Source organism: Homo sapiens, chromosome 14 (assembly GCF_000001405.40).
Source record: "Homo sapiens chromosome 14, GRCh38.p14 Primary Assembly".
Classification (NCBI taxonomy): Eukaryota; Metazoa; Chordata; class Mammalia; order Primates; family Hominidae; genus Homo; species Homo sapiens.
The window spans coordinates 24,813,716-24,827,999 of record NC_000014.9 but is presented as its reverse complement, the minus strand read 5'-3'; the positions used below and the strand labels follow the sequence as shown (position 1 = coordinate 24,827,999).

Sequence of the window (14,284 nt, the reverse complement as noted above, 5' to 3'; positions counted from 1 at the left end):
ACAGAGCTGGATGCAATGTTCTTTGTTAAGCTTTTTATTCACATGGATTTTTTTTCAAATTCATTTGTTGTATGTTCTACATAGTAAGAAACTGATAAAACTTTAAGGATTTTCTATAATCTGTCAAGAAACAGTGAAGCAGTAGATAAAGGTTGGGGGTCCTGCAGAGGTGGCAAGCGAATAGCCTGGAACTAGATTAAGAAAGGCCTTCTTGGTTGTGTTGTATTATGGGTGAGCAGCAAAGCATAGAAATGAGAAAGTGGCATGATCAGGTACTAGAGGACTTAGAGACTAGTGGCAGGAACAACATCCAGGCTACTATCTTTGTCCAGTAAGACTGAAATAGAACTTAAAGTACCATAGGGGCTAGAAATAATGTGGAGGGCTAAGTAAAGAAACCTTGCTGAGAGAGAATGTCCTGGATTCCATGAGCATTTTGGTGTGGGATATGTTGGAGAGGTTAAGAGTCAGGTCAATTGAGAGTAGAAGAGTAGGTGAACAGAAGAGCCATTAATTGACACAATGAATGTAGGAGGAGCAGATCAGAAGAAGGGAAGGAAGGAAAAGATTGGGTTAATATGAAGGTTTTTAATTTGTGAAGCAGACAAATATAGACAGTGTCTGGCACATGTTCTGTAATAAGTGAGCTGAATGAATCAGTTATTACTAATGATACAGAGTACATTGAGCACATACTGCATTATTAGCCCTATGCTAAATATGTATTTCATTTAGTTCTCACACTAGTTCATATGAAAAATAAGTACTTTTTTTTGTTTGTTTGTTTATTTCTTTGTTTATGACAAGGTCTGGCTCTATTGTCCAGACTGGAGTGCGGTGGCTCCATCTCAGCTCACAGAAACCTCAGTGTCCCAGGCTCAAGCCATCTTCCCACCTCAGCCTCCACAGTAACTGGGACTATAGGCATGCACTGCCAAGCCCAGCTAGTTTTTGTATTTCTTATAGAGATGGGGTTTCTCCATGCTGCCCAGGCCGATCTCAAAACTCCTGGGCTAAAGTGATCCACCCACCTTGGCCTCCCAAAGTGCTGAGATTACAGGCATGAGCCACCACACCTGGCCAAAATAGGTACTGTTTTTTATTGACATTAAACCAATGAAAAAGCATAGGCTCATAGAGATTAAGTAACTTATCTGAGGCCACATAGTTGATATTTGGCAAAGTCAGTCTCAAGCCTAGATCTTTCTGACCTTGTATCTCTAATCAGGAAGGGAATGAAGGAAGAATCAAAGTGACAGGGGTCGGGGGGTGGATCAAGAAATAGTGTGTTTTAGAAGCCAACAGAAAGAGCGGCCTTCAGAAGTAGTCAGTCAATTTGTGGTCCCATGGCCAACTGGAGGAAACATAAAATAGGCAATGGACTCGATAGGTCATTGGTGAGTTTGAGAGAACAGTGTTGTTAGCATGGGGTGAGGTGGTCCACTGGAAGTTCAAAAGAATTGTGGCATACGAAAGTAACAGTAGGGGCAGACTCCTCCTTCACGAATGTTCATGGTGATGAGAGTAGGGAAAGAAAGATGAGCTAAGTAGAGAGCTTAACAGAAAGACTCTCCAGTGCCAGGTAACAATCTCATTAGTAATGGCTAAGGTTCAGTGTCTATGGGCCAAACACTGTTGTAAATGCCCCACTTGCGCATCACCTCATTTATTCCTCACAGCAATCTCATGAGATAGATACTAGACCAATCCCTAGGACAGGTGAGGAAACCGAAGCACAACAGGGTAAGTAATTTGTTCAGGTCACACAGCTGGTAAGTAGCAAGTATGTTGAAGAAAATTTGCTTTTTAACCAGTAGCATTGTGTAGAGAGTTTTCAATTTGTATATGTAAGGACTTGAAATTAACAGTTATTAGAGTGTTAGAGTAAAAGTCCCTAGCTGCCAACTGTAATAAAAGTAGAGACCTGTAGATCATAGCTGGTTTGTCAGCAAACATAACCCAAGACAGAACAAAATCTGTTTTACCAAATTTAGAGCCACGTTAGGTTTTTAACCTCAAAACAAGTGTTCCCTGTATTCTGAGAAACTGATAATCTCTGAACAAAACAGACCCAAAAGAAGTATTATTGAATTCATTCTCCTGATACCCTGTAACTATTCATAAGAACCAAGGTTAAGTAAATCCTAAAGATATCCATGAGTGTTTATGCATATCCTGAATTTAAGTGTTTAAAGAGACCTGAATAAAATCCTAAATGTTTGATCCTTGTCAATGAGAAGATTGAAACAGTGAATTGAGAGGAGAGTATGAACTCATAGTTGTCTATATGACAGGGAGGGAGCATTGGGCTTTTTCCTGAGACTTTAGTTAGCCTCTGGGGCAGACATGCTTGTGACTTGGGAGTAGGCTGGTGTTCCACTGCATTACCTTCACAATGCCAAAAGAAGACCTAATAGAATGGTCCATTCTTCTCTTGGTAACAACAGCAATCAATAATTCCAAGGTGTCCTTCAAGTAGGCTTTTGCATTTATGGACTTACAAAGTATTCCTGAGCATTAAGTCCATTTTTCTTTGTCGTCCAGCTCCAGGCAACAAGCAAGTAAGTTTCTTGGTCCTTGAAATTAGCCACCAACTTGAGACAAAAGATAATTCTGAAACCACCATTGAGCACGCTATCTGTTCCGTAGCCTCTATAAAGCAAGCCTTTTGAATGTAATTACATGACCTGTCTGTTACTAAATTGATGAGGACAGCCTGAATTTATTTTTCCTCCTTTAACTTAGGAGTCAGTGTAGTCTATTGTAGCATTTCTGAGCACAAATTCTGCGGAATTTCACCCTACTAAGATACTCGGCAAAAAAGCCCTATAAGTAAATATGTTTGGGAAGCTCTGCATACCATACCTCTCCTGCTCTCACCCGTACCTCCTTTTCATTCAGTTTACATTAACGCATTAAAGATTTTCCAAAGTTCTGCAATAAAGGAGTGTGGCTAGATCTCATTTCACGAAGTCATTTTGCCATAGAATTGAGCTTTCCTTGGAGCACTGTAACTCACAGAACCACTTTGGCAAATGCCGACATAGATGTTAAGAGCTTTGGAGTCAATTCGCGGCTAATCCTGCGTAAGCTACTTCACCTCCCTGTGCATGTGTTTCCTTAACTGTAACATAAGGGTAAGAATATCTCCCTTTGAGGAATGTAACATCTTACCATAGTACCTGCCACCTAGTATGGTAGCTGTTCTGTGATTGTGATTGACTGATGTTCACACTGCATCCTGCCCAGCTTGGGTTAACAACTCTTCCGTTTGGAAAGGCTTGATTTAACCAGAATTTTTAAAAGAATTTTTCTGGTTAGTCATTATCACAAAAGTATGGATGAAATTTAACTTTTTGGAAGAATCTCCATCTTAAAAGAGGATATTAGAGGTTATCCAACATTGAAATGCAGTGATGTGATTTAGTATTGATTAATCAATGTAATATAGAAAGAGCTTGGTATTGCCTAAATTCACAGATAATTAATGGACTTTGTGGATTAAGAGCCAACTTCTATCACCGGGTAGGCTTTGCATTTAATCACTCTGTTCATAGAAGTAAAAGCTAATATCGTCATGATTACTTAAATTATTATTCATCTATAAAATATTTAGTGACAGTCACAGTACTAAACAGAGCCTCCTTTGGAGCATCATGATTATCATGCAACTGAATGACCATGGATGGGGGCAGAAGTAGAGCCACTCATCACAGGAAGCAGAACAGTGTCTAACTGACACTGAGTAGCTTTGGGACTGAAAGGAGACCAGGCTGTCAGGGAGCCAGATCTCTATGTGACTTTTCTTTTGCTAATATATGTTCTAGTGGCAGAAACACTGAGCAATGAAATTGTCACAGAGCGAAAGTAGAAAAAAGAAAAAAACATGTCTTAGGTGAATCCTACCTTTTTGTATCCAGTGAAATTAATTTGTGTGTCACTTATACTTAATAAGACTTAATTGTACCTTAGGTACTAACCATGAAAATAGCTTTGCTAAGAAAAATAACTCAGTAGATGAGAATAGAATAGAGCCTACTTCATCTACGCAGAGAATAAATTATTATTGAATACTTTTGGCATATTATGTGAGAGTCACTAATGTTCCTGGCCTATAAACAGATTAAATATAATAGGTCTCCCTACCAATTTTTGTGTTTGTTAGAACCCATATCTATTTTACACATTTATATTTTCCCAAAATTCAAATTGGTTTTCCTCTAAGTTAGTTTAGATAAGTGGGGTTTATTGGGTAGTTATTCTTAAGTGGTTAAATTGATTATGGAATAGAAGTAGTCCAAGCAAAACTGTTAAGAAATCTCTGTTTTAAAAGAGTGTTCTTAGATAAGCACATTGACTCAGCACTGAGTATAGATGGGCATATATTTATTATTTATGTTTTAGATTATTTTCTTGCTGCCTTATTTTCCAAACAGGATGAATATTTTATATTTCAAATATCTCTATATGTATTTTATAGAAGTAGCTGCTGAAAATTCTGTTGAAATTGCCTTTTACTAGCAATAGAATTAAGGATTTTAATTACCAAGATACACCCTGATGTGTAGGGTGATCAAATGAAATTATGTAGATAATTGAACTATTGGTGTATTGCATGTGCTTCTTAAAAAGTTTCCTCCTTTCTCTTCGTTTATCACTTCTCAATATACTTTACTCTTTTTTCTCATTTTTCTCTACATTTAAATTTATTTTCATTGTGTTCTCAGTGACTGAACACAATGCTATAGCTTTATCTCCAGTTGCTCTCTCAATGAAGTCTTCTAAATCACTTAACATAAAAGATGTCAGCGTATATATTTTTTTAAAAGCACACATTAAGTGGAACTGATATGAAGGCAAGATCAGTGGAGCAAGATTGGTCTCTGCTCTATCTCCAGAGACTAATTCCAAAAGTAGTTGACTTTATTTACCATGGTTGACAGCTTCTCAGACTGCTTGAATAAATTTGGGTATTAATATGCTTCCTATCTATTTAGAAAGAATTACTATGCTGTTGGCCTCAGGAGGCTGCTTTATTTCCAGATTTAACTCAGCACAATATGATGAGTCCCAACTTTTGAGTTAGGCATCCTATTTACAAAACATGTCGTGATTTAATAAATACGTGTGAAACTCCCTGTCTGAGCAACATGCTGTGCTACATATAGCAGGATATACAAAGGTATGTAAGGAGTATCTTCTGCAAGCTTCAAAACACTTAGCCCCGAGATAGGAGAGAAGAGAGAATGACATGCAATGGAACTGGGTGAGATGTGCCATTTTTTTCAAAATTACATAGAAAGAAGATGTAGTCTTAAGGGGGGTGGAGGGACAAACTTCCATTGAGTACCTGGAGACACTGCGTGTACATCTTCATCTCCACAGTAGGCACGTGAGGTAAATGGCACAACCCACATTTTACAGATCAGACAAATTAAATCACTCCCTTAAAGTCATTCTGCCAGTTGTGTCAACATAATAGTGCCTGGCACGTAGTATGTACTTCATGAATAGTTTTGAATGTTGAATAAATCTTTCAGGGAAGCAATTTTCAACATACACCAAGAGCCTAAAAATGTTTGTATGCTTTGAACCAGCAATTTTATTTCTAGTAATTATCATAGATGTGGTAAAGATTGTGTGTATATGTGAGGCAAGAGGATGGTAAAAAGGCAAGAGTGTAGAGAGCTGTATAGGAGGTGACCTTTAGTTGTATGGGATAAAAGTGAGGAAGGTGTCTAGACTAGACTCCCAGATTTCCGGCTGGATTCAGGACCTGGGCAGATATTGGGGTTGTTTGCTAAGTAGGGGACCCAAAGGAAAAACAGGTGTGGAGGGAAAAGATAATGAGTTGAGGTTTTGACTTACTGAACTTAAGATGACTTTGGGTCATTCTGTTGGACTTTTTCCATAAGAAAACCTATGGGCCTGGAGCTCAGCAGCATGACCTAGTGAAAGATAAGGATTTGGTTATGGAAGTCAGGAGCTGGATGAGATTGCTCCAGAGAGAGTCTGTAGAGTGCAAAGGAGAAGAGAGTGAGGGAAAGAACCCTGGGATTACAGTTTGAGCAAGAGGATCCCAGATAGAAGAAAATAAGTCAGCAGAAGATCTAAGTCAATAGAGGAAAAATATTAAAGATTTAGGGAATGGTCAACAGAGCGAAATGATGCACTCTGAGAATTTGTAATCCAGCTGGGAAGTCATTGCATCTACAGGTGAAAAAGTCAAGTAGGAGAAGAGTTGCCCGTGATTGTACTTAATTAAGTACCCAAGAAGGATATAGATATTATTTAGGGAGTTGAGTGGAGGGAGAGATTGGAATTGACCTGAAGCTTAATAAAGGTGATGGGACTTCACTGTGCCTAAAATGTGGGTAGAATTGAAACTGGAAGAGGTTATTTCAACCAAGGAAATGAAATTTGTTCGAATTCATCCTGATGCCTGAAAATAACTGAAGGTGGATTTCCTATTGGCAGTAGTCAGCAATGTCATCTTTCAACAGTGAAGACAGCATCTGGTTCTCTATGAGTTATAATGTCTCCTGTTAAACAGTATCATATAAAACTGAGTGTGATGTTACCTGACATCACGTGCAAGCTTAATTTCAAGCAACAAAGCAGCAAGGCTTATGTGTAGTAGGTTCATTCCAGAAACACGAGTGAAGATCATGCAGGTTAATTCCAGTGGGAAAAGGCAAGTCTTGGTTATACACCCTCTTAATTTTATAGCAGCTAATTCTAAAATCCTTTTGATTTAAGGAAGCTATTCCTAGTGGTGAAGTTGCAGCTTCCCTGCCCTATCTTTTCCCAGTCCTCTGGTGGCTCAGCTGTGAATATATGGAAGGAGGCAGGAAAAGGAGATTTTCTTGTGCCCTCTCCCAACTCCTCTGCGCCCTTCCCCATCTTCCTGTTCCACCCCATTGGCCTCTTCCTTTTTTGAGAAAACTTGACTTTCCATGTGGCATGGGTAATAACTCTTAATTTACCAAGAGGAGTACCTTGAGGACAGAAACGGTCAGGCGTTACCTTGGGAAATAACCTGTCAAAACCTATCTGTATGCTAGTCTGCGCACAATTCTGTCTTAGTGATTGCTTCTCTGAACCAACACCATATCTGCAAAGAACAAGGTAGAGAATAAGGAAAAGTCACTGGGAAACCAGGCTCAAGTGCTATCCATGTCACTTCCCTAGTGATACGGTATTGTGCAAGCCTCTTAACCTCTGCTAGTCTCAATCCTATCAGCAGAATTGTGACAATCAAGTGAGATAATATTCGTGAAGGTGCTTTATGATTGCAAAGTGCTATTCAAGTGTTGAGCAGCATGGATGGGTTATTATCATAGTTATGAGTATGATATGAAAGCAAAGGGGACCAAGATTTCTCCTCCTAAATCTGTTCTGAAGACCCAGACCTTTCATTCCAACCTTGCATTCAACCAGATTTGCCTAGAACTGCATTTCCTCTGCTCCCTATTTATCTGTGCTGATTTATCTTGGTTCATGTAGTGCTTGATGCAACTGAGTAACACTGAGTTAACCCCATTCTCCTCCCCTCAGTGCATAATTGAATCCCTTGAAATCCACCATTAAAGAAGAAAAATGGAAAAACATTTACTAAGTGCTTCCTCCAGTCCAGGCACTTTCTTTGCCTGAGATCCTTTTCCACAAACCACAGACTGTGCCCACAGAGGAGAAATTAAGAACCCTTTGCAGCTGAGACCAGTGGAAATTGCGTTTCTATTAAAAGCTATCTGTGGCTAGATGTATCCATCCCAGGTACAAAGTTAAATGATGTAATAAACTTATTCAAAGACATAAAGTCATTATATAAAATGCCATTAAATATCTCACACTCAGTGTTAACAAAATACAGCTATAAATTTCCTTTGGTTGTCATTTTGCAAGTTGCTATTTCTCAGTGATTTATGCATTGGCAAGTTCTTCACTATTGAATTTTGCTGCCCAGTCCCGGCAAATGGGATGTCAGGAATGCATGACCCTCTGAGATGCAATGGCTTTCAACCTTCTTGGTATCACCACTCCTGAGTTTGGGAGTACCAAGTTTCTTCTAGGGCTGGTTTCTATCACTGTTTTGTACCTGCTGGTTAAGTATGGTCCTGAGGCTCCGTATTTCACATACTAGAGATCAGAGGTAAGGAGTCCCAACCATCCGAGCCATGGTACAGAATCCAAGGTTGGGAGCAGACACATCTACTCTGAGCTTTGAGACTGGATCATAGCTCTTACATGAAGCTGTACATTTTGGGGTGTTCTTTACTTGCTGGATGAAGGGGTAAAATGAAGAAGAAGCATTGGAAGGAATATAGAGCATTCTATCTAGAAAAGTTCTGTGGTCCCAGTTTTCCTATGGTTATTCACCGAAACCACAGGTCAAAAGGAAATAACATAAGATCCAGATATGTCTCATTGAACTTGCCTAATTCTGTGAACTTGTCAACGTTTTCATTTATCTTTGCAAGCCAAGTTGTAAATCCAGACAGGCCCCATCCTTTTGAGCCTCCACAGATAGAATACTGGCAGAATGGAAATGACTGGCATGTCAGTGATGAGTTTATAGAGAAGCATTTAGGATTTTCCTAGGTCCTGCAGTCAGTGGGTGTTCTTGCTGCAAGTGCGTCAGTCAAACCCAATCAAAAGAAATGTCGGCTTGTTTCCTAGACACTAGACGAGCGGCCTTTCTGCAGTGTGACCTGCCTTCCTCTTACAGGATACTCACCCTGCCGGAGTCTGGTCACTGTGGGTCAGCTGAGCCAGTTTCTGATGCTCCTGCTCTCCTCCTTTCAGGAAACAGCATCCTCCATTCAGCTGCTGACAGCGTGACCAGCGCAGTGCAGAAGGCAAGCCAGGCCTTGAATGAGCGTGGAGAGCGATTAGGCCGAGCAGAGGAGAAGACAGAAGACCTGAAGAACAGCGCCCAGCAGTTTGCAGAAACTGCGCACAAGGTGGGCCAAGAGAGGAGCAGGCTTCTCAGCTCTGGGGTGTTGGGGAGCTACAGTGCCAAGAAACTTTATTTCAGTATTTTCCTGTGATGAGAGATATAAAATTAAGCTATTTCCCCTTTATGTAATTCCCATCTGCTACTTACTAAACACCTGAGTCGTGGAAAATTTCTTCTTGTACCTGGTTTCTTTGGCTCTTTTCTAATGTCCTCAGCCGTATCTCTGACCTTCTGACCTTGGATCTTTAGGAACTATGGACCATCTTTAGTTCCTGCTCAGAAGTTTAGGGCTCAAGTATCGAGGCACAGAACAGGGGGTCGGGGAGAAGAGATCAGGTCTTCGAATATCCCTGCCCCACTTAGCCAACACATGGAGGACGTGAGGCTGCTCGTGCTTGCTTTTCCATCCTGTCCCTTTCTCATCCTGAGTGTAGCAGTGTGTCCTTATCTCTTCACCAGACACAAAGCAAGCCCCAGTCCCAGGGAACTACGCACCTCGGGGCTAGTTTTCCCTCGGAGAGGGGTCGATTGTTATTTCAGGGCCTCAATTCTGGGGCTCTGAGCTTGACCGGACCAGCGCTGAGCTGTCAGCAATACTCCCTGCTGCCCCTGAATCCAGAGAAGGGCATTTCCTGCGTGACTGAGTGCGCACTCTGCACATTCTCATACTCGCTGAGAACTGTGCCTTTTAGAAGGGAAAGGGGCAGTTTTTATTGGCAGCCAGCTATCTAAGGCAGTCACAAACCAAAGGAAAGAGAGGCCCTGTTGGTCAGGTGATAAAGAGGATTTATTACTGTTGTTGTGCTTCAGATCAAAGGGCAGTTTTTTTTCTGGTTAGTGGTTTGAATTTAGCCTTCCAGAAACAACATCTGCTGATGACTTGTGTTGGCATGTCAGGCTTATGATCTGGCCCTTCAAATACACTTTTCAGGTGACCTTTCGGGGAAGAAAATAACTGGCTTTAACAGAAACACCACTTCTGCTGAGGAAACAAGGATGGATAACCTAAAAAGCAATGAGAAGAATATTCCCAGCTGAGTTGCGGTGACCTCTTCTGGAGGCTCACGCTCAGGTCCAGCTGGGGATCCAGCTCTAAGTGGATGACTCCTGCCTTCTCTTCCTGCATCCCCTTTGCACAGCGCTGTCTTGTCATCTCATTCATTCTCTGTCGTGACAGGGTCTTACTGCACTGTTGCCCGTGGGGCCCATTTCGAGTTCCTTCAAGGAGAATTGGCTAGATCTATCTGAAAATGCAGACAGCCCTGCTGGAGGCCAGAGCCTCAGATTGCTGCTGTTGGTGCAGAGGCAGAGAGTGAACTTGGATTGAAGGTCTCCCTAGTTCCTTCCTCCTTTCTCCAGCCTCTGTGACACAGAGATAATGATGACATGGAAATGCTGGCATTACAGCCTCAGCTTCTTTAACAACAACAGCAGCTTCCGTGATTTCAGTGGGAGACGGATAGTGGAAATCTGGGGAAACATTTAAGTTGTTGAGTTGGGTAGAGGAGGCTAAAGGGAATAACTTTATAACAGTCTTCAGTTCTGGGAAGGGTGATGGTACAGGCATTTTTCTTTCATGTCTTCCCACACAGAATAGAGCAATCAATAGTGCACTGATAAAATTCTGCTAAAACAAGAGTTTAGGTTAATGATTAAACCATGAACCAGGTTACCAAGGAAGATTGTAAAATTGCTCTTCCTAAGGTGGCATAGACAATACCTGGATGTCGTCCACGTAGGCGTCCCTCCCAGAGGGGGCTGTACAAACACTGGATTGGATAACCTAACCAGATGGCCTGAATTCTTGGCCCTGGTAGCCCTGTTTCCCTGATACTGTGGCCAAGTTTGCGAGGCAATTGGGAAAGCAATATGGAATAGTAGTTAACATCTTGTGTTTGAATATAGCGCTGTCATTTACCATCTTGGTGACCTTGGGCAAATGCTTAATTTCTCTAAGCCTCAGTTTTCTCATCAGTAGAATAGAGCACTATTCTTTATGAGAATAGTACCTACGTACTAGAGTGTTCAGAGAATTGAATGAGTTCAAAGCTATTAGCACAGTATGTAGCACATATAAATCTAAATTACTATTATTTGTAATCATTTTCATAAATTTTTTTTCTACTGACCCTGCCCTATTCAGTCACATAATGAGCACTGTAGAGGGATTGGAGAATTGATACTGGTGATTGAGGATCCTCAACACAGGGACAGGGAAGGAATGGAGGAGAAGATTTTGTGCCTCCCAAACCCAAAGGGAAAGGGGTGTGGGAGGGCCCTCATGCTAAATGTTGATACTATCTAAACACAGATCAGCCCTTGAAACAGGACCCATCAGGATAGAAACTAATGCGGCCACCAAAGGCAAAGGGGTCTCTGGCTTGACCAGTGGGAAAATTTATGCCTAGCAGTTACCTGCTTTCACTCGGGAGGGGTGAGGCGTGGACAGCTTGTGTTTATTTTGGTTTCCCCTCCCTCAGGTCATCTCGGGGGGAAGAGGAGGGGTTACTAGTGTCTGTTAATGTGTATGAGAGTGAGAGAGTGTCATGGCCAGACTTGCAGTTGTGTGAAACTGGGATGTGTGCCTATGAATCACTGGCACTGGCAGTATTCCTAACAAGCAGATTGACCTCTTTAGATAAGGTGTGGCTATTTTCCCAGGGACCAGGACTCTTGATTTGGACCTGCTAGCATAGGCTGACCATGAAGCTGTCATTTTACTGGACAAGCCACAGCCAGGCCTGCTGGTGAGGGGAGAGTTCAGAGATGGAACCCAAGCATTCTACCCCCTAGACAAGCATGGCTCTGTTGACTCAGAAGGAGTAAGCTGTGCTTACAAGTGGGGGCCAGAACACATGGCAGAGTCCTGAGCTGAAAATGGCAATGCCAGGTGGCAGCTCCTAGAGCTCCCAGTTGAATAAGGGTGCCGAACCCCAGCTGGAGAGTTTGGCACACCTTTGTAGAGTCCAGTAGAAAATAACTTGGCCTTCTAACTTGTTCCAGGACTCCTGCAGTGACCCAGGTGCAAGAGTCAATGGATCACTTTTGCACAACCCTGACTTCAAAATACGCAGGTGCTTGTTGTCTACAGTGCAGATAGAAAATGATCCTTCCGCCCTGCCTTCCTAGACTGACTCCCCCACCTCCACTCTGGTGAGCCTGGTTTGAGGAAATGTGGTCCTTTCTTGAGCTCCGGGCTTCATGCAAAGTTAACCTCAGGAAAGTGCACCACAATCGCAGAAACAGATCTGCTCACTTTCCCTTGCCAAAAAGCACAATGTTGCAGCAGACGCAATGCTTTGACGGCCCCGCCATAGTCAGTGAGTCAGTAGACAAGAGCATTACCCACACTCAGACATCCTCAGATGACATTTCTTGCAGAAAAAAACATTGACTTGCCCTGTTTTGCACTAGCCTACGTGTGTGGGGGAAGAAAGGGCGTGTGGCCTTTCTCTCACTGCGAGGGAATGGCTGCCTCTATCCTTACTACCTAAGGAGCTCAGGTCTGGGTCTTCGGAGCACAGGTCTTATAATATATAATATTATATTATTATAAAATAATACTATTATGTTATAATAGTATTATAAAAAATAAAATACATGATTTTATTATTTATCAACAGTAATATATTGATACTATATCTGCCTGGTATCAGTCATGATTTTATTATAATCATTTTTTAGGTTGAGTAGGTTACATGCATAGCATTGAAAGAGAACTCTTTCCATGAGATATTAAGAACACAAAATATATCAAAAGGAAATTTGAAATTTTAACAACTCTGACACCTAAATTTATCCATTGGCATTTAGCGTTGGAGACTTTTTTATAGACATAAGAGGAGGCTGAGGTGTGGAGCAGCTGTGACTTTAGAGCTCAAGGTCATACAGCAGATTTGCAGCAGCAGGTATCCTGACCTCATTTCATGCAGTGCTCTTTCTGCTCTACCTCCCTGCCTTCCATATTCTAACGCTCCTAATTCCTAGGGAATTTTTAAACAAAAACTAAAATGATACTACTTTCTTAGTCCATTCAAGCTGCTATAACAAAATACCATAAACTGGGTGACTTATATACAACAGAAATTTATTTCTCACAATTCTGGGGGCTGGGAAGTCAAAGATCAAGGTACTGGCAAATCCTGTGTCTGGTGAAGGCCAATTGTTTGATTCATAGATGGCACCTCCTCATCATGTCCTCACATGGTGGAAGCGGTGAGGGGTCTCGCTTCAGCCACTTTATAAGGACACTAATCTCATTCATGAGTGCTCTGCCCTCATGACCTAACTACCTCTCAAAGATTCCACCTTCTAATAGTATCACCTTGGGGGTTAGGTTTCAACATAAGAATTCTGGGGAAACACAAACATTTGGACCATGCCAATACTCAAATAGCAAAATGTCCAGTCTTAACTGTATTTCTGCAAATCTTAGCTGGTCGTGGCCCGGGGGCTCCCCTTAGCTCCATTCCAGATGCACTGTCCTGGTTACCAGGGTCTGGTTTGAACAGCAGCATAATCACTGCTGAAAATTAATAGCTGTGGGTAAATTGGCACAAGCCCATTAGTTGAAAGTTAACAGCTCATTGAATACCAGGACAGCAGCACTGATCAAATATTTATGGTCAGTATTTATTATGCACAACACTTAACCACTCTGTGTTGATGTGATGGTCCATGTTGCTGAATAATGTATAAAAACTAGAAGCAGAGCAAGAAGTAGAGGCCGTAGAGTGATGAGGTTCAGAGTGTGGCCAGGAAGTGGTACAGATCTGAGCTAGAGCCCTGGCTCTGCCATTTGCACCAACCTGGACTATATGTTTCCTGGACTATAAACTCCTTGAGGTCAGGAGTCCTTAGCCACCTCTACCCTTCTTGGCAAGAACCCACATCACTCAGCAGGACAGCCTGGGCACATTCGGAACTTCCCAAACCCTGTGTCTGACAGTTGACTGACTATTGGCGTTAGCATTGCAGAAGATCTGTGGAGGTCTTCACTGGCATCACCAGACAGAGGTACCAGGAGCTCTTTCAGCTGAGGTTTCCCAAGCAGAGATTAACTTATCAACATGAGGACTGGTCCAAAGGTCCCTCTATCACATGCAAACCTGGCTGGGGACACTTGTTGTGAGTGTTGACCCTGTCTTTGCTGGTGGCTTAGCTGAGATGGCAGCCCCAGGGTTATAATTTATTTGTTGAAGATGTCAAGAAGAGAAAGAGAAGACTCAGGTTGCCCTGGGTTTTGCAGAAGAAATGGATTAGTGACATTCCAAAATGATGCAGAGCACCACTGGGTGAAATCAGTAGGATCGGCCTTACTAATTC

General features: G+C 41.9%; 1 protein-coding gene and 1 long non-coding RNA gene across 29 annotated transcripts in view; one reads left to right on the top strand and one right to left on the bottom strand.

Moving 5' to 3' along the window:
• Nucleotides 1-14,284, top strand: part of STXBP6 (syntaxin binding protein 6) — a 240,694-nt gene that overhangs the window by 222,148 nt on the left and 4,262 nt on the right. For 27 of the 28 annotated variants that reach the window (NM_001394418.1, NM_001394420.1, NM_001394410.1 and 24 more), the window contains one exon: nucleotides 8,806-8,963. In NM_001394418.1, coding sequence (NP_001381347.1) covers nucleotides 8,806-8,963 — 158 coding nt within the window. The remainder of the gene's footprint in view (nucleotides 1-8,805; nucleotides 8,964-14,284) is intronic. The other variant, NM_001394417.1, reaches the window with a different exon arrangement.
• LOC124903293 (uncharacterized) lies at nucleotides 19-9,642 on the bottom strand. Its single transcript, XR_007064089.1, has 2 exons — nucleotides 9,107-9,642; nucleotides 19-9,010 (listed from the first exon to the last, which is right to left on the bottom strand). It is a non-coding gene; the product is annotated as an uncharacterized LOC124903293 (long non-coding RNA).